Below are 25,351 nucleotides of genomic sequence, written 5' to 3' on the forward strand. Positions count from 1 at the left end.
CCATAGGTTAACATCACAGGAATCTGTACAGACAACCCCAGTACCAGCCCGGAGCCAGTTAGACTCGCTGGGTGGCTAGACCCAGAAGAGAGACAACAATCACTGTAGTTCAGCTCACAAGAAGCCACATCCACAGGAAAAGCTGGAGAGTACTACATCAAAGGAACACCCCATGGGACAAAAAAATATAAACAATAGCTGTCAGCCCTAGACTTTCCTTCTGACAGAGCCTACCCAAATGAGAAGGAACCAGAAAACCAACCCTGGCAATATGACAAAACAAAGCTCATCAAGACCCCGTGCCCCCCCAGAATCACACTAGTTCACCACCAATGCATCCAAACCAAGAAGAAATACCTGATTTACCTGAAAAAGAATTGAGGAGGTCAGTTATTAAGTTAAATCAGGGAGGGACCAGAGAAAGGCAAAGCCCAATGCAAGGAAATCCAAATACTGAAGGAAATAGATAGCTTAAAGAAAAAACAATAAAAAAATTCAGGAAACTTTGGACACACTTTTAGAAATGCGAAATGCTCTGGAAAGTCTCACCAATAGAACTGAACAAGTAGAGGAAAGAAATTCAGAGCTCAAAGACAAGGTCTTCAAGTTAACCCAATCCAACAAAGACAAAGAAAAAACAATAAGAAAATATGAACAAAGCCTCCAAGAAGTCTGGGATTATGTTAAATGACCAAACCTAAGAATAATCTGTATTCCTGAGGAAAAAGACAATTATAAAAGCTTGGAAAACATATTCAGGGGAATAATCAAGGAAAACTTCCCCAGCCTTTTGAGAGACCTAGACATGCAAATACAAGAAGCACAAAGAACACCTGGGAAATTCACTGCAAAAAGATCATTGCCTAGGCACATTTTCATTAGATTATGCAAAATTAAGACGAAGGAAAGAATCTTAAGAGCTATGAGACAGAAGCACCAGGTAACCTATAAAGGCAACCTATCAGATTAACGCAGATTTCTCAGCAGAAACCCTACAAGCTAGAAAGGATTGGGGACCTATCTTCAGCCTCCTCAAACAAAACAATGATCAGCCAAGAATTTTGAATCCATCGAAACTAAGCATTATATATGAAGGAAAGAGACAGTCATTTTCAGACAAACAAATCCTGGGAGAATTTGCCATTACCAAGCCACCGCTACAAGAACTGCTAAAAGGAGCTCTAAATCTTGAAACAAATCCTGGAAACACATCAGAACAGAACCTCTTTAAAGCATAAATCACAGAGGACCTATAAAACAAACATACAAGTTAAAAAGCAAAAACACCAAAATGAAAAAAAAAAAATTACAGAGGCAACAAAGCGCGTGATGAATGCAATGGTACGTCACATTTCAGTACTATCATTGAATGTAAATGGCCTAAATGCTCCACTTAAAATATACAGAACTGCAGAACAGATAAGAACTCACCAACCAACTATCTGCTGCCTTCAGGAGACTCACCTAACACGTAAGGACTCACTTAAAGGAGGCAGAAATAGGCATTTCATGCAAATGGACACCAAAAGTGAGCAGGGGTAGCAATTCTTATATCAGACAAAACAAACTTTAAAGCAACAGTGGTTAAAACAGACAAAGAGGGATGGTATATAATGGTAAAAGTCCCTGTCTAACAGGAAAATATCACAATCCTAAACATGTATGCATCTAACACTGGAGCTCCAAAATTTATAAAACAATTTTATAAAATTTATAAAACAATAGACCTAAGAAATGAGATAGACCGCAACACAATAATAGTGAGGGCTTCAATACTTCACTGACAGCACTAGACAGGTCATCAAGACAGAAAACCAACAAAAAAAAACAATGGATTTAAACTATACCTTGGAACAAATGGACTTAACAGATATATATGGAACATTTCATCCAACAACCGCAGAATACACGTTCTATTCAACAGCGCGTGGAACTTTCTCCCAGATAGACCATATGATAGGCAATAAAATAAACCTCAATAAATTTAAGAAAGTTGAAATTATATCAAGCACTCTCTCACACCACAGTGGAATAAAACTGGAAATCGACTCCAAAAGGAACCTTCAAAACCATGCAAATACATGGAAATTAAATAACCTGCTCCTGAATGAATATTGGGTCAAAAACAAAATCAAGATGGAAATTAAAAAATTCTTCAAACTGAACGACAATAATGACACAACCTTTCAAAACCTCTAGGATACAGCTAAGGTGGTGCTAAGACCATAGCCCTAAACGCCCACATCAAAAAGCCTGAAAGAGCACAAATAAATGATCTAAGGTCACACCTCAAGGAACTAGAGAAACAAGAACAAACCAAACCCAAACACCAGCAAAAGAAAGGAAATAACCAAGATTAGAGCAGAACTAAATGAAATTGAAACAAAAAATAAAATACAAAAGATAAATGAAACAAACAGCTGGTTCTTTGGAAAGATAAATAAAATTGATAGGCCATTAGCAAGATTAACCAAGAAAAGAAGATAGAAAATCCAAATACCCTCACTATGAAATGAAACAGGAGACATTACAACTGGCACAACTGAAATTCAAAGGATCATTCAAGGCTATTACAAACACATTTACGCACATAAACTAGAAAACCTAGCAGAGATGGATAAATTCCTGGAAAAAATATAACCGTCCTAGCTTAAATCAGGAAGAATTAGATACCCTGAACAGACCAATAACAAGCAGCAAGATTGAAATGGTAATTTTAAAATTACCGACAAATAAAGTCCAGGACCAGAGAGATTCACAGCAGAATTCTACCAGACATTCAAAGAAGAATTGGTACCAATCCTTTTGACACTATTGCACAAAATAGAAAGAAGGAACCCTCCCTAATTCATTCTACAAAGCCAACATCACCCTAATAGCAAAACCAGGAAAGGACACAACCAAAAAAGAAAACTACAGACTGATATCCCTGATGAACATAGAGCTAAAATCCTTAACAAAATACCAGCTAACTGAATACAACAACATATCAAAAAGATAATCCACCATGATCAAGTGGGTTTCATATCAGGGATGCAGGGATGGTTTAACATACACAAGTCAATAAATGTGATACATCACATAAACATAACTAAAAACAAAGTTCACATGATCATCTCAATAGATGCAGAAAAAGCATTTGACAAAATCCAGCATCGCTTTATGATTAAAACCCTCAGCAAAATCGGCATACAAAGGACATACCTTAATGTAACAAAAGCCATCTATGACAAACCCACAGCCAACATAATACTGAATGGGGAAAAGTTGAAAGCATTCCCTCTGAGAATGGGAACAAGACAAGGATGCCCACTCTTAGTACTCCTCCTCAACATAGTACTGGCAGTCCTAGCCAGAGCAATCAGACAAAAGAAAGAAATCAAGGACATCCAAATCGGTAAAGAGGAAGTTAAACTCACTGTTTGCTGATGAAATGATTGTTTACCTTCAAAACCCTAAGGACTCCTCCAGAAAGCTCCTAGAACTGATAAAATAATTTAGCAGTGTTTCTAGATATGAGATTAATGTACACAAATCAGTAGCTCTTCTATACACCAACAGCGACCAAGCAGAGAATCAAATCAAATCAAAAAGAGGAAGTGAAACTGTCACTGTTTGTTGACAATATGATCATTTACCTTGAAAACCCGAAGGACTCCTCCAGAAAGCTCCTAGAACTGGTAAAATAATTCAGCAATATTTCCGGATATGTGATTAATGTATACAAGTCAGTAGCTCTTCTATACACCAACAGCAACCAAGCAGAGAATCAAATAAAAAATTCAACCCCTTTTACAATAGTTGCAAAAAAACACAAACAAACAAACAAAAACCTTAGGACTATACCTAACAAAGGAGTTGAAAGACCTCTCTACAAGGAAAACTAAAAAAAACTGCTGAAAGAAATCATAGATGACACAAACAAATAGAAACACATCCCATGCTCATAGATGGGTAGAATCAATATTGTGAAAATGACCATACTGCCAAAAGCAATCTACAAATTCAATGCAATCCCCATCAAAATACCACCATCATTCTTCACAGAGTTAGAAAAAACAATTCTAAAATTCATATGGAACCAAAAAAGAGCCCACATAGCCAAAGCAAGACTAAGCAAAAAGAACAAATCTGGAGGCATCACATTACCTGATTTCAAACTATACTATAAGGCTGTAGTCAACAAAACAGCATGGTACTGGTATAAAAATAGGCACATAGACCAATGGACAGAATAGAGAACCCAGAAATAAACTCAAATACTTACAGCCAACTGATATTCGACAAAGCAAACAAAAACATAAAGTGGGGGAAAGGACACCCTTTTCAACAAATGGTGCTGGGATAATTGGCTAGCCACATGTAGGAGAATGAAATTGGATCCTCATCTCTCACCTTATACAAAAATCAACTCAAGATGGATTAAGGACTTAAACCTAAGACCTGAAACTATAAAAATTCTAGAAGATGATATTGGAAAAATCCTTCAACACATTGGCTTAGGCAAGGATTTCATGACCAAGAACCCAGAAGCAAATGCAATAAAAACAAACATAAATAGCTGGGACCTAATTAAACTAAAGAGCTTTTGCACAGCAAAAGGAACAGTCAACAGAGTAAACAGACAACACACAGAGTGGGAGAAAATCTTCACAATCCATACATCTGACAAGGGACTAATATCCAGAATCTAGAAGAAACTCAAACAAATTAGCAAGAAAAAAAGAAACAGTCCCATCAAAAATTGGGCTGGCATGAATAGACATTTCTCAAGGCCAATCGCAGTGGCTCATGCCTGTAATCCCAGCACTTTGGGAGGGCAAGGCAGGCAGATCATGAGGTCAGGAGTCCGAGACCAGCCTGACCAACATGGTGAAACCCCGTCTCTATTAAAAATACAAAAATTAGCCGTGTGTGGTGGCATGTGCTTGTAATCCCAGCTACTCAGGAGGCTGAGGCAGGAGAATCGCTTGAACCTGGGAGGCGGATGTTGCAATGAGTGGAGATCGCGCCACTGCACTCCAATCTGGGTGACAGAGCAAAACTCCATCTCAAAAAAAAAAAAAAAAAAAAGAAAGAAAAAATGTTCAAGATCACTAATGATCAGGAAAATGCAAATCAAAACCACAATGTGATACCACCTTATTCCTGCAAGAATGGCCATAATCAAAAAATCAAAAAGACATTAGATGTTGGCATGGATGCGGTGATCAGGGAACACTGCAGTGATCAGCGAACACTTCTACACTGCTGATGGGAATGTAAACTAGTACATCCGCTATGGAAAACAGTGTGGAGATTCCTTAAATAACTTAAGGTAGAACTACCATTTGATCCAGCAATCCCACTACTGGGTAATGGGATTCCCTCTACTCAGAGGAAAAGAACTCATTATTCAAAAAAGATACTTGTACATGCATGTTTATAGTAGCACAATTCACAATTGCAAAAATCCTGGAACCAACCCAAATGCCCATCAGTCAATGAATGGGTAAAGAAACTGTGAGATATATATATATATATACATCAGCTCTGCATACTGGACACCTCATTTTTTATTTTTTATTTTATGTGAGCAAGAAATAGATTTCCATTGTGTTACACTATTGAGACTGCAGGTTTATGTTGTAGCAGCTAGGATTACCTAGATTTACTTTTAGGAAAGACTTCTCTGCAAGGAATGTGGAGAATGGGTTGGAGGAGGCAAGAAGAGGAAGGAAGACAAGTGAGAATACATGTGTTGGAATCAACTGAGTGATTGCTATAGGCAACCTGTAGGCAGTATCAAAAGGTGCTATTTAAATTTGCATGACAGAGTGACGGGGGAAGAAGGTGTCTCATTGTCCAGCTTGGGTAACAGCACGGATTGTCTTGCCTTTCAGTTTAATGCAACTGATAATTCATAAGGAGCAGAAGACACTGAGTGAGGTGTCCAGTATGCAGAGCTGATGAAGTGAACTTGATCCCTGCTCTGGTGAATCCAAGAAGGTGTGTTGGGAAGGTGGGTAATAATCTTGGCTTTGGATACATTGAGGTAGAGATACTTGTGTGTCCAAATGGAAGGATAGGATGAGCAAGTAGAGATTTGGGTCTGGAGCTCAGGAGAGAGATCTGAGCTCTGGGCTGGCAGTCAGGTCATTGATGAGGGCCAGACCAATTTGGGAGAAAGTGGATGAAAGAAGACTCAGGCCAGCCCCGCAAGGGATAGCAATATTTAAAGCATGGGCCAGGGAAAGGGCAGGACAATGAGACTAAGCAAGAGAGGCCAGGAAGCTAGAAGGAAGATCAGGACCCAAAGCAAAAAGTGTTTCTTAAGGAAGAAGTCTCCAAAAGGGTAGAATATTGCCAAAAAGTCAGGTTTCTATTGAACTTAGGAACAAGGAGGGTGTTGGTGACCATTTATTTCGTGTAATGGTGGAGCACAAACCAGATTGGAGTTGGCTGAGGAAGGAATAAACAGTCACAAAACCTGGAAGCTAAAAGATTCATAAATTTGACTACATAAAAACTCTAATTTCACATGGTGAAAATACTGTAAACAAGATAAAATACAAATAACAATCTAGGGATATATTTATGATTCATTTCATAGACAAAAGGCTAATCTCTTTCTTACCATTTTTTTTTAAGAGATGGGGGCCTCACTGCATTGCCCAGGCTGAAGGGCATTGGCTATTAACAAGCACAATCATAGCACACTACAGCCTCCTGGGCTCAAGCAGTTCTTCCGCCCCAGCCTCCCAAGCAGCTGGGACTACAGGTACGTGCCACTGTGCTCGGCTTAATTCCTTGAGTATAAAAAATGCTTCTACTCATCCATGCATACTAGGCCTACACTCCTGAAGAAAAATATGGGTGAAGTATATGAAGCCAATTCACAGAACAGGAAATAAAAACAGCTCTTAAACATAAGAAAAGGCAGAAATAGACTTTATTCATGAAAAGGGGAAGTCAATGTTCAAATGCCATTCTCATTAAAAACTTTTATAAAAACCAAGGATAAACAGATATTTTCAAAAACCATTTATATGGATTTTATTTCAATTTCAATACCATGTCACTTAATATTAGATATATGGTTGTATAATGGAGTTCTTCTTTCTTTAGATTATGTGCAGGCTACAGAATTAGATTTTCCTTGTTAAAATTTTAAATATTACAGAAATATAGAAGGCAAAAAATGGAAGGTTTTTTCCCACATCTCCTTCCCCAAACCTATCTCAGAGACAACCTCTGTTAGCAATGAAAAGTGTCACCTTTTAAACCTCTCCCCATAGATTTGTATACATAAATTTACATACACAGGGTTTCGTTCACATAAATGAGATCATATTATACACATTGCATTGCCAGTTACATTTTTCACTTAATTTGTTTTCATAGTGTTTTACAAGAAGTGCATTTGAACCTATTGTGATATTTTAAAATTCTGCATAGTAGTTCATACTATAAATTAAATTCTTCTCCTATTGAAGGCAAAATTAAAATTGAATTAATTACACTTCATTTTCTTTGTTTTTTCCCTCCCTCCCTCTCTACCTTCTTTCCTTCCTTCCTTTTTCTTTCCTTTTTTGCTATTCAACAATGCTAACTGTACACTTAGAAATGCTTAAGATGGTAAATTTTGTTTTTCTTTACCACGATTTTTTAAATTACCCTGCAAAAATGCCTTTGAAAATACTACAGGGAAAACCTTAGCATATCTAAGCATGTATGCAAATACTTATGTAGATCAGACATCTAAAAGTGAGATGCTGGCCCAAAAAGAATGTCCATTTAAAATGAAAAGGCTGCCCACTTCCTTCCAAAAACCCTTAATCCACATTCCCACACACAAGGTAAGGATGCCTGTTTTCTCGTATGCTCACCAATACTGGATATTATCAACCTCTAAATTAAAACAGAGAGCGGAACAAGAATTTCTGTCATGATTGTGCCCTCTGTGTCTTGGTTCATTTGTGTTGCTATAAAAAAAAAAACCACATACATGAGGCTGGGTAATTCACAAAGAGAAGAGGTTTATTTGACTCACAGTTCTGCGGGCTGTACAAAAGGCATGGCACCAGCATCTGCTTCTGGTGAGGACTCAGGCTGCTTCCACTGATGGCAAAAGGTGAAGGTGAACTGCCATGTGCAGAGATCACAAGGCAATAGATCAAAAGCAAGAGACAGAGGGCAGGTGTCAGGCTCTTTTTAACAACCAGTTCTCAGGGGAACAAATAAAGCCAGAACTCACTCATTACCTCGAGGATGGCACCAAGCCATTCATGCCCCCATGATCCAAATACTTCCCATTAGACCCCACCTCCAACATTGGGGATCATGTTTCAACATGAAATGTGGGGGAACAAATATCTAAACCACAGAAAGTTGTCTCCTGCCTGGGTAATGCAAAAAAGACAAAGACAAAACAATAAACAAAAAACAGACACTAGGGGTGTGTCAGTTAGAAGGATGTCCTCTTTCTTATTTGCATATACCGTTACGTACATAGTAAAGATCGTTTGCCTATTGCATAATCATATAGCAGAAACTCCAAGATGATTTACTGAAAATTCTTAAATTACCAAAAGGCTATACCAAATTGGTCATGCACAAGATAAATGTATAAGCTTCAATGGTTTACTTATATGCCATCCATAATCAGGTCAGGGGAAATGCTCTTGTTTAAAATTGTTACTAAAATTTAGAAATAGCCATAACAAGAAAAAAAAGATATGTAGGACTTATATTGAAAAAAACTCAAAAAAAAAGTTTTAATAAAAGTAGTATAGAAAAGGGCTTGAATAAATGGAGACTCTTCTCATTTTCCTTAATGAGATGACTAAACATTGTAAATACATCAATTTACTCAAGTAATTTATATGCTTAATGTCATGCTAATCCTTCCTCCCAAAAAATTGAAAGTTAAAAAAATTACTTTGGGTATTAAAAAATTATTCTAAAGTTCACCAGAAGAATAAAGATGGAAAAATAGATTTACAATATCCAGAAATTGGCTAATAAATAAAATTATGCTTTCTCCTGAATGTCAATAATACAAAATCAAATTCCATGTGAATTAGTTAAATCATTACAAAAATAAAAGTTTAGAGAAAAAACTATTTTATTTTACTACTTTATGAATGGAAAAGTACTTCTAAGAATGGAAGTGGTGTCGGAAATCACAAAGGGAAAATCTAGATTTGATTATAGAGGAAAACAAAACACTGTTTATTAATGAAACATCATAACAAAATTTAAAAGGCAATACAAGAATGAGAGAAAATATAAAACAGAGGGATAATATCTTTAATAGGCAAAGACATATGTAAAAACGAAGCAGAAAAGTAGGTGTATGAATGACAATTCATAGATGAGGAAATTCAAGAGCCAATAAATGCATAGAACACTTTCACCACTAATAAAAGAAATGCAATAAGTATCTGCATATGATACATAATGTTGCAGATGTTTGTAATTTACATAAAAGATACTGAACTAGGGCTGGGCTCAGTGGCTTATGCCTGTAATCCTAGCACTTTGGGAGGCTGAGGTAGGCGGATCGCTTGAGGCCAGGAGTTCAAGACCAACACGGCCAATGTGGCGAAACCCCGTCTCTACTGAAAAATACAAAATTAGCTGGGTGTGATGGTGGGTGCTTGTAGTCTCAGCTACTTGGGAGGCTGAAGCAAGAGAATTGCTTGAATCCAGGAGGAGGAGGTTGCAGTGAGCCCAGATCATGCCACTACACTCCAGCCTGGGTGACAGAGTGAGGCACTGTCTCAAAAAAAAAAAAAAAAAAAAAAAAGATACTGAACTAGGCACTTGACATCCAAGATGTCCACTTGGCCCTTTTCTAAGTGTACTTCACTTTGTTTTCATTCCTCCTCTAAAGCTTTTTAACAAACTGTCACTCGTGTTCTAAAAACAAACAAATGTCTTTCATCTCATTTTTTACTCAGCATTATCTATCAAAGGGACTGGATGTCCCATCTAGTTTGTACTTTAGTTTCTAGCTCATTACATAGGAAATGCAAATAAAAAACACAATGAGATACCACTTCACACCCACTAAGATGGCCATAACTTATTTTTTTTAAAAAAAGGAAAAGGAAAATAATAAGTGTTGGTGAGGAAGTGGACAGAAATTGGAATTCTCATACATTGCTGGTGGGAATGTGGAATGGTTCAACTGCTGTGGAAAACAGTTTGTCTGTTCCTCAAAAAGCTAAACATAGAATTAACATATGACCCAGCAGTTCCACTCCTAGATATATACCCAAGAGAATGCAAAATAGGCATTCAAACAAATACAGGTACACAAACATTCATAGCAGCACTATTCCCAATAGCCAAAAGTCAGAAACAACCCAAAGTCCATCAATGAATGAGTGGATAAATAAATTGTGCTATAAACACATAATACAATTTTATTTGGCCATAAAAATGAAGTGTTGATACATGCTACTATGTAAATAAATCTCAAAAACTTGTACTAAGTGAAAGAAGCCAGACACAAAAGGTCTCATACAATTCAATTTATATAAAATAGCAAGAATAGATAAATCCATAGAGACAGAAAGCAGATTGGTGGTTGCTGGGGGCTGGAGGAAGGAAGGAATGGAGAGTATCTGCTTAATGGGATGGGGTTTCCTTTTAGAGGAGAACATTTTTTTTGGAACTTTAAATAAAGGTGGTGGTTATGCAACATTGTTAACAATACTAAGTGGCACTGAACTTCTCACTTTAAAATAGTTAATTTTATGTTATGTGAAGTTTACCTCAATAAAAAAATTCTTAAAAAAAAAAACTCAGTGATATCCAACCATTAAAAAATATAAGTTACATAGCTCGTATATAATCAACTTACTTATTACTGCACTATGAGGGGCACCCAGATATGTAAGACAGAGTCCCAACCTTTGGTTGTTGGAGGACTATCTAAGGATACAGAGATTAATAAAAATAAAAGAACTACCACGAAAGAAGTGCCCTCCAAGTACAAAGAGAGTTCAAATATGTACATCTGGTTGCGGAGAAAGGAAAAACTTCTCAAAGAAGAATTTGAAGTGAGCTTTAAGGGTTGAATGGAATTTTTACTGTTAGAGGTAGAGAAATACAATATCATAAAGAAAGATGTGATCCCTACAAGAGGATTACGTGGTAAGTTGAAAGACATTAAACAGTCCAACCTGGTCATTGTCAAAACTATATACGTTGGGCACAGAACTGAAGACCAGGTGTCAAAGGAGGATGGCTCTGTCCCCTTTGTGTCCCCAGTGCCTAAAGCAGTGTTTGGTGCATGCTTGGTGATTGGTAAATGTCAAAGAAAAAGATAAAAGATAAAATATAGCCGGGCGCGGTGGCTCAAGCCTGTAATCCCAGCACTTTGGGAGGCCGAGGCGGGTGGATCACGAGGTCAGGAGATCGACACCATCCTGGCTAACACGGTGAAACCCCGTCTCTACTAAAAATACAAAAAATTAGCCGGGCGTGGTGGCGGGCGCCTGTAGTCCCAGCTACTCGGGAGGCTGAGGCAGGAGAATGGCGTGAACCCGGGAGGCGGAGCTTGCAGTGAGCCGAGATCGAGCCACTGCACTCCAGCCTGGGCGACAGAGAGCCAGACTGCGTCTCAGAAAAAAAAAAAAAAAAAAGATAAAATATAAATGTACATTTTACAACCTTTTTTATAAGGCTAAGCACCAGGAAATCTATAAAATAGTAGCAATATCTAGCACCATTTATTACCACTGAGGCAGCGGGTTAAGGAATGTATTCGCAGTGTCAGGAAAGCACAGGGTCGCCAGAGTGAATTGCATGTGGAATTCTAGAAGAACTTTGCTTGCCATCCTATGGGATTTGGACTGCAATTTTAATACAACAGGGAATCATTATGGTCTATTTTCTCAAGATTCTGATTAAGTAGCATAAGCGAGTGTGGAGCATCATGAATTCATGCTGGCAAATCATGAGGGCAGACAGGTAAAGAATCTGCCCTCATCTTTGCACTTGGCTTTCTAGGCCCATCCTCTTGGAGCTGTAGTGGGGATCTGGGGACACAGGAAGAGGGAAATGGCCGAGTGCACGGTAAGTGCACCCTTTATGGCGATGAGAACCTGCCACAGAACAGAATGCTGTTGGCTCTGTTGTGCCTGATGAAGAAAAGGAAAGGGTGGTCAGCACAGAACCTGGGGCCAGATTCCATGCAGCACTCTGCAACTACAAAGCAGCTCGACGCTGCCGCTGCCTCGGTGCCTTCTTCATTCACCTCCACAAAACTCTTGTGCACGAACTTGGACAGACACAGGTCTCTCTCCGCTGACATTGCCGACAAGTCAGCCTTGCCCTGTTGGAAGGCATCAACAATTCCCAAATGCCGAAGCACAGATTCCATGTCATAATCCTCTTGTAGTTTAAATTTTGGAAGGAGAACTTCAACCTCAGTACTCTTCATACAGTCTGGCTTGGTCCAGGCTGTGAGTTTCTCAAAAGTGAGACTTTTTTCCACCTGAAAGACCAGAATTAGACTTTAAGATTCCGACTTCAGTGCACATGTACAAGCGCACAGGCACTCACAGTTCCCTTCCTCCCCTTGCACGTAGGTGTTGTTTGTTCACATAGGATCAGTGGCCCCTTCATCTGCCAGAAGCTTGTGAGCACTCTTACTTGTCCTATGTCCCATGTGCCACTTCCTTGACAAGGGGGAGAGACACCAAGCAGTCAGAGGCAGGAAGGCTGTGGCTGTCCTCTCCTTATCCAACAACTCCAGAGACATCTTGTATTGTGACAAGTGTCAATGCCCAGGCGACTGTGTTTTTTTTTCAAACATAGTCTTTTTAAAGACAACAAACCATTGCTAGTAAAGAAAAGGATTGGAAACGAAAGGGCTCTCAGTGTGAGCCACTCCAACAGGATTATCTGTCCCAGGTGAGATTCTGCATAGTTTCCGGAGCAGAGAGGTTACCAGAGGATTATCTGCCCCAGAGAGATTCTGCATAGTTTCCGGAGCATAGTTTCAGGAAGGTGGGCAGAGGGAGAGCCAATGGCTGCTGCGCACACAGACCTCTTAAGTCATGGGGTCCCACTGCCTGCCATTTGCCATGGTTGACTCTCTCACCCTGGAGATCCATGCTGAAAGGAAGCCGAGTGCCTGGATGTGCCCTCAGAGGCTGCCTCTGGTCCCACCCTCTGAGAACTGGACTTCACACCTCCCTGGATGCCCCCTCCCAGCCTTGTTAGGTCAAAGTTAAGACTTCCTCATTCTCTATTTCAGGTTCCTAGACTTTAAAAGCATAATGCTAAGAATGATGATTGTAATAATGGATCACATTTGTAGAGCATTTACTAGTTGCCAGGCAATGTGGTAAGCTTGTTACCTGAATTACCCACATTTTATCCTCATCATAACTCTAGGAGGCAATAACCCCGAGCAGTCATTTATGCTTTTAGAGTTAAAAGTCTGCCATTCATCAAACTAGCAGGATTTTTATAAGCTTCCTCCTACCTGATTTATTTTAAAAGGCATTTTAACCGCCGCCCACTCCTTCTAGCGATGAAAAAACAGAGGACTGAGATGTGTAGTTTGGCAGATCACGCAGACAATATTGGGAAAAGTCAGCCTTGAACAAAAGTTCGATCCCAACGCCAAGTGCCTGCACAGTGTGCGTCTGCCGCATCGCCAACTCAGAAGGTGAATATGAGAGGTGGAAGTGGCACTCGAGTTCTGCCCGCAAAGGTGTCCCTGGGTTCTTCCCGCAGCCCGGGTCTTACCGTGCTGAGCTCCACGCCGTCGTCAGGCAGCAGCACCAGCAGGCTCAGCTCCTTCCTGGCGTAGGGCAGCTCCAGCAGCTGCGCGCGCACCTCGCCCACGTGGGCGAGCTTAAACGTGGCCTCCTGATACATCATCTGCACTGGCCTTTGCTCCTCCTGGGGGAAGGATTATTGAAAGACGCAATTAAAACTTTCAAAAGAGCTGCAGTTGCCTCCAAGAGTGTTTTCAGCACCTGTGATGGAAACCGCCACATTCATGCCCCAGTTAACACTAAAAAAAAAAAAAAAAAAAAAAAAAAAAAAAGTCAACCAGTTCCTTCCTATCTTCATTGCAAGCAGACACAGTACCACCCTGGGAAAGGTTTTCTTCTGCAAAATAAAATGTGATACCCTACATTTTCCAGAGGAGAAAGATGTTTCTCATTTAAATTGTGCTCAGCAAATAGATCTAAGAAAGCAATATAATCAAATGAAATTAAATACAAATTTGTTTTGATTTAATTAGAAAAAAATGTGTATTGTTTTTCCTATTTATCCAACCCAACATATGAGAAAAAAAATCATAAAGTGGGATGAAACTTATAGTTCCACAACAGCATGACAGGGAGTATAAATGGATACACTCTCTCAGAAAGAGTAACGACCTACATATGTAGTAATGTATTTTAACCCAATCTTTTCAATTCTGATACTCTAATGAAATAACTTTTTTAAAATACAGAAGAGGCATAAGCACATAGAAGCTCAGCAAAGTATTACATTTATTAACGTAATACTTTAAAAAATTGATACAGATCATTTATTATAAAAATTAAAATAGTTCTAAAACCAGGGTTAGAATTCTCCTCCTCCCACCCTTTGCAACTAGAGAACTAATTTTTTTAAGTTAAAGTACACCTTACAAAAAATGCAGGAGGGTTACCTGCTTTTGTTTTTTAATTACATTAAAATAGTATCTTTTTAGGGGCTGGAAGATTTGGCAAATTATTCTAATGCCTGCCTTAATTAAGTTTTACTTCAATGTCAAAACTAAGGTCTTTGTCATGAAGTTTTAATATTAAAAAGCTGTAAATACTGAATTAATGATAATTAGTTAACAATTCAAATCAAAACTTACTTTAATTTTAAAAATAACTAATTAAAGACACATGTTTTCACCTTCTCTCCCTCTACCCTGCCCTATACTGCCTCTCACTCCCACATATCACACTACCTTAACACTTTTTTTTTTTTTTTTTTGCTTTCTAGCCAAGTAAATTGGGCTTATAGGAAGATCTTTAGTTTCCAAAACTAGGTGGCAGCAATGGTTTATGAGAAATTATCAAAGGCAGTTAAGAGCAGTGATAAAACACTACATATATATATATATATTATATATACGTATATATAATATATATATGCAGCAAATATCTTTTACTCCTTCCGTTTTTTTCTACTGAGTTAAGAAATTCATTCAGAAATACTTTAAGTTTCAAATTCCTTTTGGCTTACGCTTATGTCACTTACACTTTTACAAAGTTAAATCTTTCCATTCAACTTCTTCATCAAACTAGCAGGATTTTAAAAAGCTTCCCCCACCTGGTTTATTTTAAAGGGCATTTCCCTTGTGTATGTTTCGTCAAACGGTTCATTCCACTTTCCTTTGAAGTAGATGGCATTGACAAGAACCAGCCTGGTTTCTGCATCAATTGAGCTACCCGGCAACAACTCTTCAATTTTACCTTTCAAGAAAAGTAGAGACTACATTCAGTTGCTTTTTATAAGAACCTGATGCATTGGATGATCCTGGATCATTAGTTGAGAAGCAAACTTCTGTTTTCAACTTTGCTGAGTTTGGGTTGTTATGTAGAGAAATAAAAACAGCACATATGAGTGGTATTCATGATTACTGACACCTTGAGAACATCCACCAAGTTGAGGATGGTGAAAGATACCTAAGTCACTCGAGGAAAGCAGGTTGGTACAAAGTAGAAAAATTACACCAGGTTGGAGAACAAGACCAGCAGGAAATGTGATAGGCTGAAGGGGTGTTTGTCTCACATGGTTAATTGGAGTGTTTGATCCAACCCTTCATGATCACACCCAGTTCTAACATTCTGTGACTATACATGGACATGTCAGAAGCAACCAGAATGGACGGCTCAAAGCGGGAAGAGCTGACATTGGGCACATGGGGAGTTTCCAGAAGCTTTTGGAGGAGATATTCCTGCTGAATCCCCTCAACAAAGCACTAGGCATCCCTGGAAAAGAGGATGTGGGCAAACAAAGATCACCCCTTCTTTCCCTGGAGATCAAGTGGTACTGTTTCAATGAACTGAGGGCATCCCTGCTAACCCACTGCCTGAAGAGAGCATCCGTGGTAAATACTCCAAGCAGGAATGCGGGAAACAACTGCTGAGACTTTAAGCGAAGAACGTCTCCCATTCTTTACCGTCTCATTTATTCACAGAAATGGAAATGTTCCTGGTGGTACTAAGCATAATTGGCGCAGAGGAGTCTGAATGGTTCATCAGACCATCATTGGTCTTGGAGGCCTAGACTGGAACACGTCACTTTCTGAAATGTAGATGAATAAGGTTCAACCCCAAATGGAGGGTATTTTCAGTCTGTGGAACTGATCAGCCCTGAGAGAGGGTCGGCAGTTAACCAATCAAATGTAGGCTTATCAAGTCAAACTAAAGGAGCTTAAGTGGAAGACATGAAAAGTCAGGAGTGACCTTAGCAGGTAAAGGTAATGGTGATGGAGGTCCCCCAGAACCTAGGAAGAGGCAGCCCAAGTGTATACCTCAGGCAAGATCTGTCCACCAATCTCCTTCTCGCAGAGACAATGGAGTCACCTGACATGTGAATGTTACAGGCCAGGGAGAGTATATTTTAATGCAAGTTATTAAACTGGAAACCTGGCCTGAGATTCTTTTGACATTTGTTTTTTTGTTTGTTTTTTGTTTTTGAGACAGGCTGGAGTTCAGTGGCATGATCTCAGCTCACTACAACTTCTGCCTCCCAGGTTCAAGTGATTCTCATGTCTCAGCCTCCCAAGCAGCTGGGATTACAGGCATGGGCCACCACACCTGGCTAATTTTTGTATTTTTAGTAGAGATGTTGGGCGGGGGGGGGTCCCACCATGTTGGTCAGGCTGGTCTCGAACTCCTGACCTCAAGTGATATGTCCACTTCGGCCTTCTAAATTGCTGGGATTACAGGCGAGAGCCACCGTGGCTGGCCCTCTTTTGACATTTGTATCAGCTACTCTGGTCCTGGGAGAATAGACAAAAGTAAATCTCTGTTGCTGAAAACCTGAATGTCTGATCAGAACCTTTATGAGTCCATCAAGGTTCAGTATGCCAGGAGGCCCTGCCAGTCAACACTACTCTGACCATCTGAAACACCCGTGAAATTAGAGGGGGCGGAGTGGAGAGGTGGAGGTGGGTGAGGAGAGGGAGGAGGGATAGGAGGGAGAGGAGGAGGAGAGAGGATATAAGAGGCGGGAAGGAGGAATAGGAAGAGCCGCAGGAGGAGGACGGGTTGGGAGGAAGGTGCAATAACTTGTCATTCTGACCTTCGGTCTTTTTTGAGACCCAGGTGTTGATGTGTTTCCTGGACTCTTCTGCAGCTCTGATAAAGGAAAGCTCCTTCAGCTCAGCATGGTAGAATTGAAGACAGGATTCCTTAAACGTCTTTGGAGAGAAAAATGTTCAGTGAGGCTGCATTGCTAAATACAAATGTCAGCAAACTTCCAAAAATTCTAAATATGTTATCTTTTTTTAATAAAAAGAATATACATAACTCTTTAAAAGTGATCATATGAAGATATGTTAAAATATCAGAGTTTGTGAATAGGTATGTATTGAACCCTGAATAACCAGAAATGAACTTGAGAATTTTACCTTTCAATTTTACCTTTCAAGAAAAGTAGAGACTACTTTTGCAATACTAATGCAAGGTATAATTATAGAATTGCAGTCTTTAAAAAAAAAAAGAAGTTTAGGCTGGGCGTGGTGGCTCACATCTGTAATCCCAACAGGCAGGAGGATCACTTGAGACCAGGAGTTTAAGACCAGCCTGGGCAACGTAGTGAGACCCCATCTTAGAAAAAAAAATAGTGCAATTTTTTTAAATTGGTTAACATAAATTTCTCAATTTCTCTAGGGTCTTTCTCCCAGACTCTATATCACCAGGTATGTTGAATGCAACTTTTATTGTTCTATTGATTCAACTTACTGAGAGGAACTGACAAGTTTTCTCTCCAAAGAGCCTGTTGGCCGTTCTCAGCAGGTACTGTGTGCCAGCCTTGTTCACTTCAGTGAGAAGCGACTGGAAAGCCCGATGAATGTCTTCCTCTGTGTTTAAAGACAGTGCCTGTTGTGAAAGATAATTTTAAAAGTTATCAAGATAGCTCTTTGATGGCTGGGGAGAGGAGAGAGAGGGGACAGAAAACAGGCGAGTAAAAGATGTAGCCATTCTGCCTGAATGGATCTCGCTTGTTTAAAGATCAGTAACACACAAAAAATGACAAGGGTGAGAAAAGCTCAGAAAAGAGGTTGTGATAAAATCTTGCATCAAAAGGAAAATATAAATGTACCCTAAGTGGTGGGAAAATTACCTCTAAAATTTATAGTGAAAAAAAAAGATGCAGTTAAAAAGTTAAAAGCAGAAAAAATGCATGGAAAAATAGACGGAAATACAATCATCAGAATCCTCAAAAGGAAACAAGGATATTACATGAGCAATGTGATTAATAAGACAATAACACAGTTATTAAAATTGTACCCTATAGGGACTACATGTGTGTATATTAAATATTTCAAAATATATCACACATATTGGGCCATAAGAAAAGTCTCAACATCCCAATACATTCTGAAATACAGAATTATATAGATCATATTCTCTAACTTCAATGTAGTAACAAAAAATCAGCATTATAAATAAAATGCCAACAAAATGAAAATCACCTACAAAATATTACTGAAAACACTTTTCTAAATAATTAACTCTTCAAAGTAAAAATTAAAATACTTTTCTAGGCCAGGCACAGTGGCTCATGCCTATAATCCCAGCACTTTTGGAGGCCAAGGCAGGAGGATTGTTTGAGCCCAAGAGTTTGAGGCTAGCCTGGGCAACATTGCAAGATCCCATCTCCACTTAGCTGGGCATGATGGTGTGTGCCTGTGGTCCCAGCTACTTGGAAGGCTGAGATGGGAGGATTGCTGGAGCCCAGGACTTTGAGGCTGCAGTGAGCTATGATCAAGCTGCTGCACTCCAGCCTAGGAGACAGAGCAAGACCATGTCAAAAAAAAAAAAAAAACACAAAAAATCCTCTTCTAAACAAATATTTAAAATATTCTTCTAGGCTGGGCACAGTGGCTCATGCCTGTAATCCCAGCACTTTGGGGGGCCGAGGCGGGCAGATCACTTGAGGTCAGGAGTTCAAGACCAGCCTGGCCAAGATGGCGAAATCCTGTCTCTACTAAAAATACGAAAATTAGCCGGGTGTGGTGATGCTTGCTGGTAATCCCAGCTACTTGGGAGGCTGAGGCAGGAGAATCACTTGAACCCAGGAGGCGGAAGTTGCAGTGAGCCAAGGTCATACCACTGCACTCCAGCCTGGGCAACAGAGCAAGACTCCTTCTCAAAAAACAAACAAACAAACAAATTCTTCTAAATAAGTATATGACATATGATTTAGAAAATAATCAAAATATGGGTGATATATATTAGACCAAAGAGTTTGGCCAAAGATAAGTTAAAACATAGCATTGTTTTCAATATTACCAAGAAAGTAATAAAATGCTAAAACTTTAAAATCATTATGTTAGAAAAGATACAGAAAAACTCCCAAGGAATTTTGGGACAAACACAAAATGATCAATGAATCCAAGAGCTGGTTCTTTAAAAGAAAACACACATACATACAAAACAGACAGCCACCCACCACATGTAAGAAAAAGCACCCCAAAGTAAAGTTATATGTGAAAAAGAGGTTACAGCAATATAAACAAAGGGAATGTTAAAACAAAAACTCTATATAATTATTTTCAGTAAAGTACAGATTATAAGTTACCAAATGCCAGTCAAAAATATGAATACTAGCCAGGCATGGTGACATGTGCCTGTAATCCCAGCTACTCGGGAGGCTGAGGCAGGAGAATCACGTGAACTTGAACTCGGGAGTTGGAGGTCGTAGTGAGCTGAGATAGCACCACTGCACTCCAGCCTGGGTGACAGAGCAGAGACTCTATCTCAAAAAACAAAACAAAACAAACAAAACAAACAAAAAACAGAATCTATCAGTCACAATGAATGAACAAAAAAAAAATAAGAGGGAGAGAGAGAATTACTTCTAAAAAGGCTTAGATGATCTTTTGAGGGATTTTTTTTTCTAATATTCAAGCAATTTCTATTTCTCATGCAATACACACTGTTCTATAACATAGAAAAAAGAGGAAGCTACTAAATTTACTTTAGACAGCTCATAGACTGTTGATGAGAAACCCTGTCAAATAGAACAGAACCAAAAGCTAAGACCAATTTCACCTGAGGCTGTGACACCACTATTACTATTCATAGCCAACACATGTTGAGCACTTGCTTTACATGGACTGTCTCACCGAATCCTCACATTAGCTGAAAAATCATTTATAAAAGTAAAGATACCATATAATCACCAAAGTACAAAATGTCAAGTGAAAATCAGGAAATAGGGCCGGGCGCAGTGGCTCACGCCTGTAATCCCAGCACTTTGGGAGGCCAAGGCGGGTGGATCACGAGGTCAGGTGATCGAGACCATCCTGACTAACACAGTGAAACCCTGTCTCTACTAAAAATAAAAATTAGCTGGGCGTGGGGGCGGGCACCTGTAGTCCCAGCTACTCGGGAGGCTGAGGTGGAAGAATGGTGTGAACTCGGGGGGTGGAGCTTGCAGTAAGCTGAGATCGCACCACTGCACTCCAGCCTGGGCGACAGAGCAAGACTCTGTCTCGAAAAAAAAAAAAAGAAATAGGACTGGAGGAAGATGCTTTACATTATCAAGGGTGGTTGTCTCTGTTTGATGGATTCATAGGGATTTTTTCCTCCCTTCTACTTTTATTTTTTAAAAATTTTTATAGTGGACTTTTACCAGTTATATAATGAAGGAAAAATAAATAATTCTTTAAAATATTTCTGCTGCCATTAACGCTTCCCTGCATGTTACAGGTAGCAACGTGTACTCAGTATGTTTGGTGTCTCACAAGCATCCAGTTGAACACTGGAGCCATGGAGAGAGCTCAGTCTCACACCTAAGAAGGTACCCAGACAATTTTGGTGCTCTCAAAAAAGCTTTCTATAAGGGTTTATCAGTGAGCCTAAAACATAGAAAAAGATCATACAGATTTCAGCATAAGGAACTTCAGAATCAAAATGGAGTCACTAATATTAAAAAAACAAAACCAAAAACCTTTGACAAACAGACAGGGAAGGCCATGAAGAGAGGGTTCTCACGCTTGAATGCCTGATAACACAACTATCACAAAGGACTCTAAAAACCTACGCTCTTGCACAAAGGCCATCACAGCCTTACACAACAAAATACTTGTGCAAGGACATCTACCCAGGAACTCCCCATCCAACCTCACACTGACATCACCTTCGTTATTGATCTTTTTGCCAAAAATAATTATTTCAAAGGAATTATGTAATCCTCTTTACTTTTTCCTTTAAAAATCTTAGTGTTATTTCACCTCCCTGAATGTGCACATAGCTTGCCATGGCATGCGTATTTTCATTGCAATGCCCTATTTCCAAATATATATATCTTTTAGAGAGCCTCTCTGTGCTTATTATTAAGGCTGGTAGCCTTTACACATAAACCCTCCCTTCTTCACACAATGAGCTGGGAAATTATTAAAATGAGTAATTCACTATTGAAAAGCGTCATCAAAGAAAAAGACAGTCATATTGAACAAAGGACAACTCCCATGATGAAGGCGTGTCCAGCGGCCTGCACTCAGGGATGGCGCTTTTCGGTTTCATCTCACGTGTATGTCTCCTCTCCTTTCCACAAAGGTCTGGGGACAAGCACTGATCTTGAATCATTTCCACAGGTTCTCTGAATGTTGGTGAGACTGAGCTGAGCAGTACCTGCACAGTGTGCAGCTGTAATGAAGCACTTGCCCTGGAATCCTTCTTGCAAATTTCTGTTGATGCCCTCCCTGAGCTGTTGGTACAGAAACAACTTGAAACAGGTATTAACCTTCCTTACCAATGAAAGTTTAGTTACAAAGTCTCTTGCTCCAAAAAAGAGGTAGTTCTTTGCAACTTATGTTTCAAATAATTTCAGTGTCATTTTCTAAAGAAAGATTCTGCGCTAGGACAAGACAGCTTGGATGGTCTTTTCCAAGGGATTAACCGAGGAAAGTTTCCCCCAAATAAATCTCGGTGGAGCAGAGTTCCTGCCTCCCTGCCCTGCCCCACTTCTTCCCCAGTGGACCCCGCCTCCCTGAAACGGCCAGTGCACACTCGGGCCCCAGTCCTGCCCTCCTTTCTCAGTGGCTCTGGAGTGTGAGTGTGAAGCTGGTGACAGAACACGCAGCCCAGGCCAGTCCCTGCTCCTGGCGGACGGGCAAGCTTACCTGGGCCATCTGGGTTGCGGTGTTTCCCTTTGCCCCTAGGAGAACCATGGCCAGGGCAGAGGAGATGCTCACAGGAGAACAGAACACGTTGTGCGAAGGGTTATCTTGACACAGTATCTTTAAAAGGCGTATGGCAAAAGTACCACTTGCATTAGAAAGAGTTTCCATGATGCAGGGCCTGGAAGGGAAGAATAAAGAGAAATGCAGTTTCCACACTCCCTGAATGTTACTGACCTACTTACTACAGGGCAATTTTGGAATCGTACTTTTTGTTTTCTTCTTAAAGTTCGTAAGTATTTTAAATTGGAGAAAAATTTATTTTCTGTTAGTCTCCGGCCAAAAATTAAGTGCAAATGTTAAGGTAATTAGCTAAGTGTGGTGATGGCAGCAGCTCAAACCAGCAATAGCAACAGAACTGGCTCGCCTGCAGAGCTCGCTCTCTCACACACACACACACACACACACACAGAGCTGGAAGCAGTGAACTCCAATTCTTTCCGTAAGGACCAGATCGTCCCATCTGAGGAGGAGAATGGGGTCAGGGAGGAGGAGGAAAATGCTGTTCTTATTCTTGCATGCATTTACAAAGAGTCCTTGTGAGATTTTCAACTGGGCACCAGCCTGTGGCCTCCCTGACATTCAGCTGATACACAAAAGACACTGAGATGCTGAATCTGACCCAGAGACAGACAGCTGTGAGGCAAGGAGCTGTCATCCATAGAGGCAAGTGAGTGCGTCCTGGACAGCCGGGGTGGAGCCAGGCTGCTCCCAGTCAGCCAGCCTGCCCCAGGCCCACGCGGCCTGACATCCCAGTAACTCCATTCAGAGCTCCTGCCCATCACCAGCTTCTGCACATCATGTGACCCTTGAACACAGAGTGGGACTTGGACAATTGTGTGGTTTTGCTTCGTTTTGTTTTGTTTTTAATGTGCTTCCTAACTCAGAAACATCTATTTGGGAGCTTTACTCATTACTCCCAGCAAAAGCCATGAGTGTAGATTGTGCGTGAGAGGAAGGATCTGATCCCTGCAGAACGCCAGAATGGAAAGGCAAGAAACAGCCCAAGGTGAGGAGTAAAACAGGCGAGAACAAGGAGGTGGTGCCTGTGAAGCCACTGGAGACCAAAGTGTGAATGTGAGGGGGTGGGTCTCTTGGCCACAGGCCTGAAACCAAATGAACCCCCACCCCCAGGCTGCAGTTCCCAGTGCACTTGGAAATGAGACCCTGACTCCTCCAGGTGAGCCTGGGAGACCTCCCTGACTCCTTTCCATCTCCCCCTCCTCCCCCACACCCATCCCCAAGGCCTGCCCTCTACGCCCACATTTCTTCCCACTTCGGATTCTGTGCCTGGTCTAATGCCCAGGCCCCCTCCCGAGCCTCTGGTCTCCCTAGAGCCACTCCCCACTGTCGGGACACCTCATCTGTGCTCCCCAAAACGCCACGCAAAGCGCTGGAGAGCCTTGGACAATGAACACAACCCACTCCCCCAGCCACCCCCACGCCACAGCCACACGGCACCTCAGAAAGCGGTGTCTTAATCCTCTTGTCCTTCCTCCTAAATCTCCCAGGGGCCCTTAGGCCCCTCAAAGGTGGCCGCTCAAAGCCACCTTGTTAAAACGGTGTCTTACCCACCTGCCCCCTCCCTTGATCCAGACTCACTGAGGTCACAGCCTCCACCTCTGGCCATCCTGAACCCCTCCCAAAGTCAACTCTTCACAAACACTGTTGGTCCCCCTTAGAAGGCCCCATGTCCATCACGGCATTAATTCCACTCACCCTCAAACACCGCGGCCCGGAGGCTCTGATTCCCACCCTGGAGGAGGTTCTCTTGACCCCGCCGGCGCGACCCTCCCCAGCACGACCCTTCCTCCCGAAGGTGATTCCTCATCTTGCTGGTGGTCCCCACAGACCGCAGGCTCTGCAGGCGAGCGCTGAGCCTGGCTCTGCAGATTCTCAGGACCCCATTCGTTTAGCTGAATTATTGAAAGAATTAAGATGGATAAGAGTGCTCAGATTTGAAACTCCGAGACTGGTGGCTTTATTTTTTTGTTGTTGTTGGTGGTGGTTTTTTTGTGTTTTTCTTTTTTTTGTTTTGAGACGAAGTCTCACTCTGTCTGCCAGGCTGGAGTGCAGTGGCGCAATCCCAGCTCACTGCAACCTCTGCCTCCCGAGTTGAAGTGATTTTCCTGCCTCAGCACATAGCTGACATTATTACAGGCGTGGGCCACCATGCCCGGCTAATTTCTGTATTTTTAGTAGAGACCGGTTTTCACCACGTTTGCCAGACTGGTCTCGAACTCCTGATCTCCAAGGATCCGACCGCCTTGGCCTCCCAAAGTGCTGGGATTACAGGCGTGAGCCACTGCGCCCGGCCGAGACTGGTGACTGTAAAGGACAGTGAAGAAGCAGGACAGACGTCATCCTGCGGATCCCAGAGCAGAGAAGAGCAGTGAGAACACAGGGCCGGCAGGTGGGGAGGAGGCTGCAGGGGAGGGCTTCGGCCAGGGAAGGGCAGCGAGGAGACATCCGGGAGGGAGGCGTCCGCGGTGGCTGTGGGCCGCCAAGGCGGAGACCGGCTGCCGCTCCCAGGCACCCCCCAGAGACCGTTGCTGACCCCACCGAGAAGGCACCGCCTCCCCGGGGCTCTTGGCTGAGCGACCTCTCCTGTCCTCCGGTCCCATCACTCGGTGGCAGCCGGTGGACCTGAAGCTCGCCACTCCCGTCCCCTACCCCAGCCGTGCGCGGGGACGCCCTCACCTGCCACCTAGTCCAGCGCTGCCGCCGTCTCCGTGCCGCGCTCCGAGCCTGGACGCCGACCCCCGAGGCGCAGGACCCGGCCCTGCTGCTGCGCTCGCCGCGGACTCCCGCTAGGGCCTCTGCAGGCACCGCTTTTATACCGCAGGGTCGGGCGCCTCCCACGCTTTCTGCGTTTAGGCGGAGCCTGGCGGGACCAGCGGGGGCGCCGCGCGTGGTGGCCGAGGTCAGAGC

The 25,351-nt window shown here is 41.5% G+C and overlaps 1 protein-coding gene and 1 long non-coding RNA gene across 5 annotated transcripts, besides 5 other annotated features; one reads left to right on the forward strand and one right to left on the reverse strand.

Annotated features, from left to right (window-relative positions):
• The first annotated feature begins 5,907 nt into the window (after nt 1-5,907).
• Nucleotides 5,908-22,596, forward strand: SERPINB9-AS1 (SERPINB9 antisense RNA 1). Its single transcript, NR_110841.1, has 5 exons — nt 5,908-6,001; nt 6,631-6,760; nt 20,949-21,039; nt 21,836-21,976; nt 22,403-22,596. It is a non-coding gene; the product is annotated as an SERPINB9 antisense RNA 1 (long non-coding RNA).
• On the reverse strand, nt 9,190-25,229 carry SERPINB9 (serpin family B member 9). Of its 4 annotated transcripts, none has more exons than NM_004155.6 (7): nt 25,121-25,229; nt 22,364-22,541; nt 17,973-18,110; nt 17,311-17,428; nt 15,331-15,473; nt 13,753-13,908; nt 9,190-12,490 (listed from the first exon to the last, which is right to left on the reverse strand). In NM_004155.6, the coding sequence occupies exons 2-7, from the start codon at nt 22,529-22,531 to the stop codon at nt 12,083-12,085; spliced, it is 1,131 nt and encodes a 376-aa protein (NP_004146.1). In that variant the 5' UTR covers nt 22,532-22,541; nt 25,121-25,229; the 3' UTR covers nt 9,190-12,082. The 4 variants fall into 4 exon arrangements, with proteins under 4 accessions (NP_004146.1, XP_005249241.1, XP_011512980.1 ...); XM_005249184.6 differs by lacking the exon at nt 25,121-25,229 and adding an exon at nt 24,140-25,090; XM_011514678.3 differs by lacking the exon at nt 25,121-25,229 and adding an exon at nt 19,846-19,968 and having other exon boundaries at nt 22,364-22,457.
• Nucleotides 9,452-9,652: a silencer, noted in NCBI's record as "peak5624 fragment used in MPRA reporter construct". NCBI's record gives its function as "represses an SCP1 promoter by STARR-seq MPRAs in K562 erythroleukemia cells {active_cell/tissue: K562}" and the evidence as "EXISTENCE:reporter gene assay evidence [ECO:0000049][PMID:32103011]".
• Nucleotides 20,556-20,605: a silencer, noted in NCBI's record as "silent region_16834". NCBI's record gives its function as "represses an Ori minimal core promoter by ATAC-STARR-seq in GM12878 lymphoblastoid cells {active_cell/tissue: GM12878}" and the evidence as "EXISTENCE:reporter gene assay evidence [ECO:0000049][PMID:35858748]".
• Nucleotides 24,693-25,194: an enhancer, noted in NCBI's record as "H3K27ac hESC enhancer chr6:2903007-2903508 (GRCh37/hg19 assembly coordinates)". NCBI's record gives its function as "activates a minimal SCP1, AML or CMV promoter by ChIP-STARR-seq in primed H9 embryonic stem cells {active_cell/tissue: H9 hESC(primed)}" and the evidence as "EXISTENCE:reporter gene assay evidence [ECO:0000049][PMID:30033119]".
• Nucleotides 24,905-24,954: a silencer, noted in NCBI's record as "silent region_16835". NCBI's record gives its function as "represses an Ori minimal core promoter by ATAC-STARR-seq in GM12878 lymphoblastoid cells {active_cell/tissue: GM12878}" and the evidence as "EXISTENCE:reporter gene assay evidence [ECO:0000049][PMID:35858748]".
• Nucleotides 25,195-25,274: a silencer, noted in NCBI's record as "silent region_16836". NCBI's record gives its function as "represses an Ori minimal core promoter by ATAC-STARR-seq in GM12878 lymphoblastoid cells {active_cell/tissue: GM12878}" and the evidence as "EXISTENCE:reporter gene assay evidence [ECO:0000049][PMID:35858748]".

Source organism: Homo sapiens, chromosome 6 (assembly GCF_000001405.40).
Source record: "Homo sapiens chromosome 6, GRCh38.p14 Primary Assembly".
Classification (NCBI taxonomy): domain Eukaryota; kingdom Metazoa; phylum Chordata; class Mammalia; order Primates; family Hominidae; genus Homo; species Homo sapiens.

Bases quoted from the DNA above. Each gene is read 5' to 3' on its own strand.
- SERPINB9 (NM_004155.6), bottom strand. From the start codon at position 22,531: ATGGAAACTCTTTCTAATGCAAGTGGTACTTTTGCCATACGCCTTTTA. The intron at 17,429-17,972 runs GTAAGTTGAATC...TTCTCTCCAAAG, and splicing joins AAACTTGTCAGTTCCTCTCA to ACGTTTAAGGAATCCTGTCT. The intron at 13,909-15,330 runs GTGGGGGAAGCT...TCCTTCCCCCAG, and splicing joins TGCCCTTTAAAATAAACCAG to GAGGAGCAAAGGCCAGTGCA.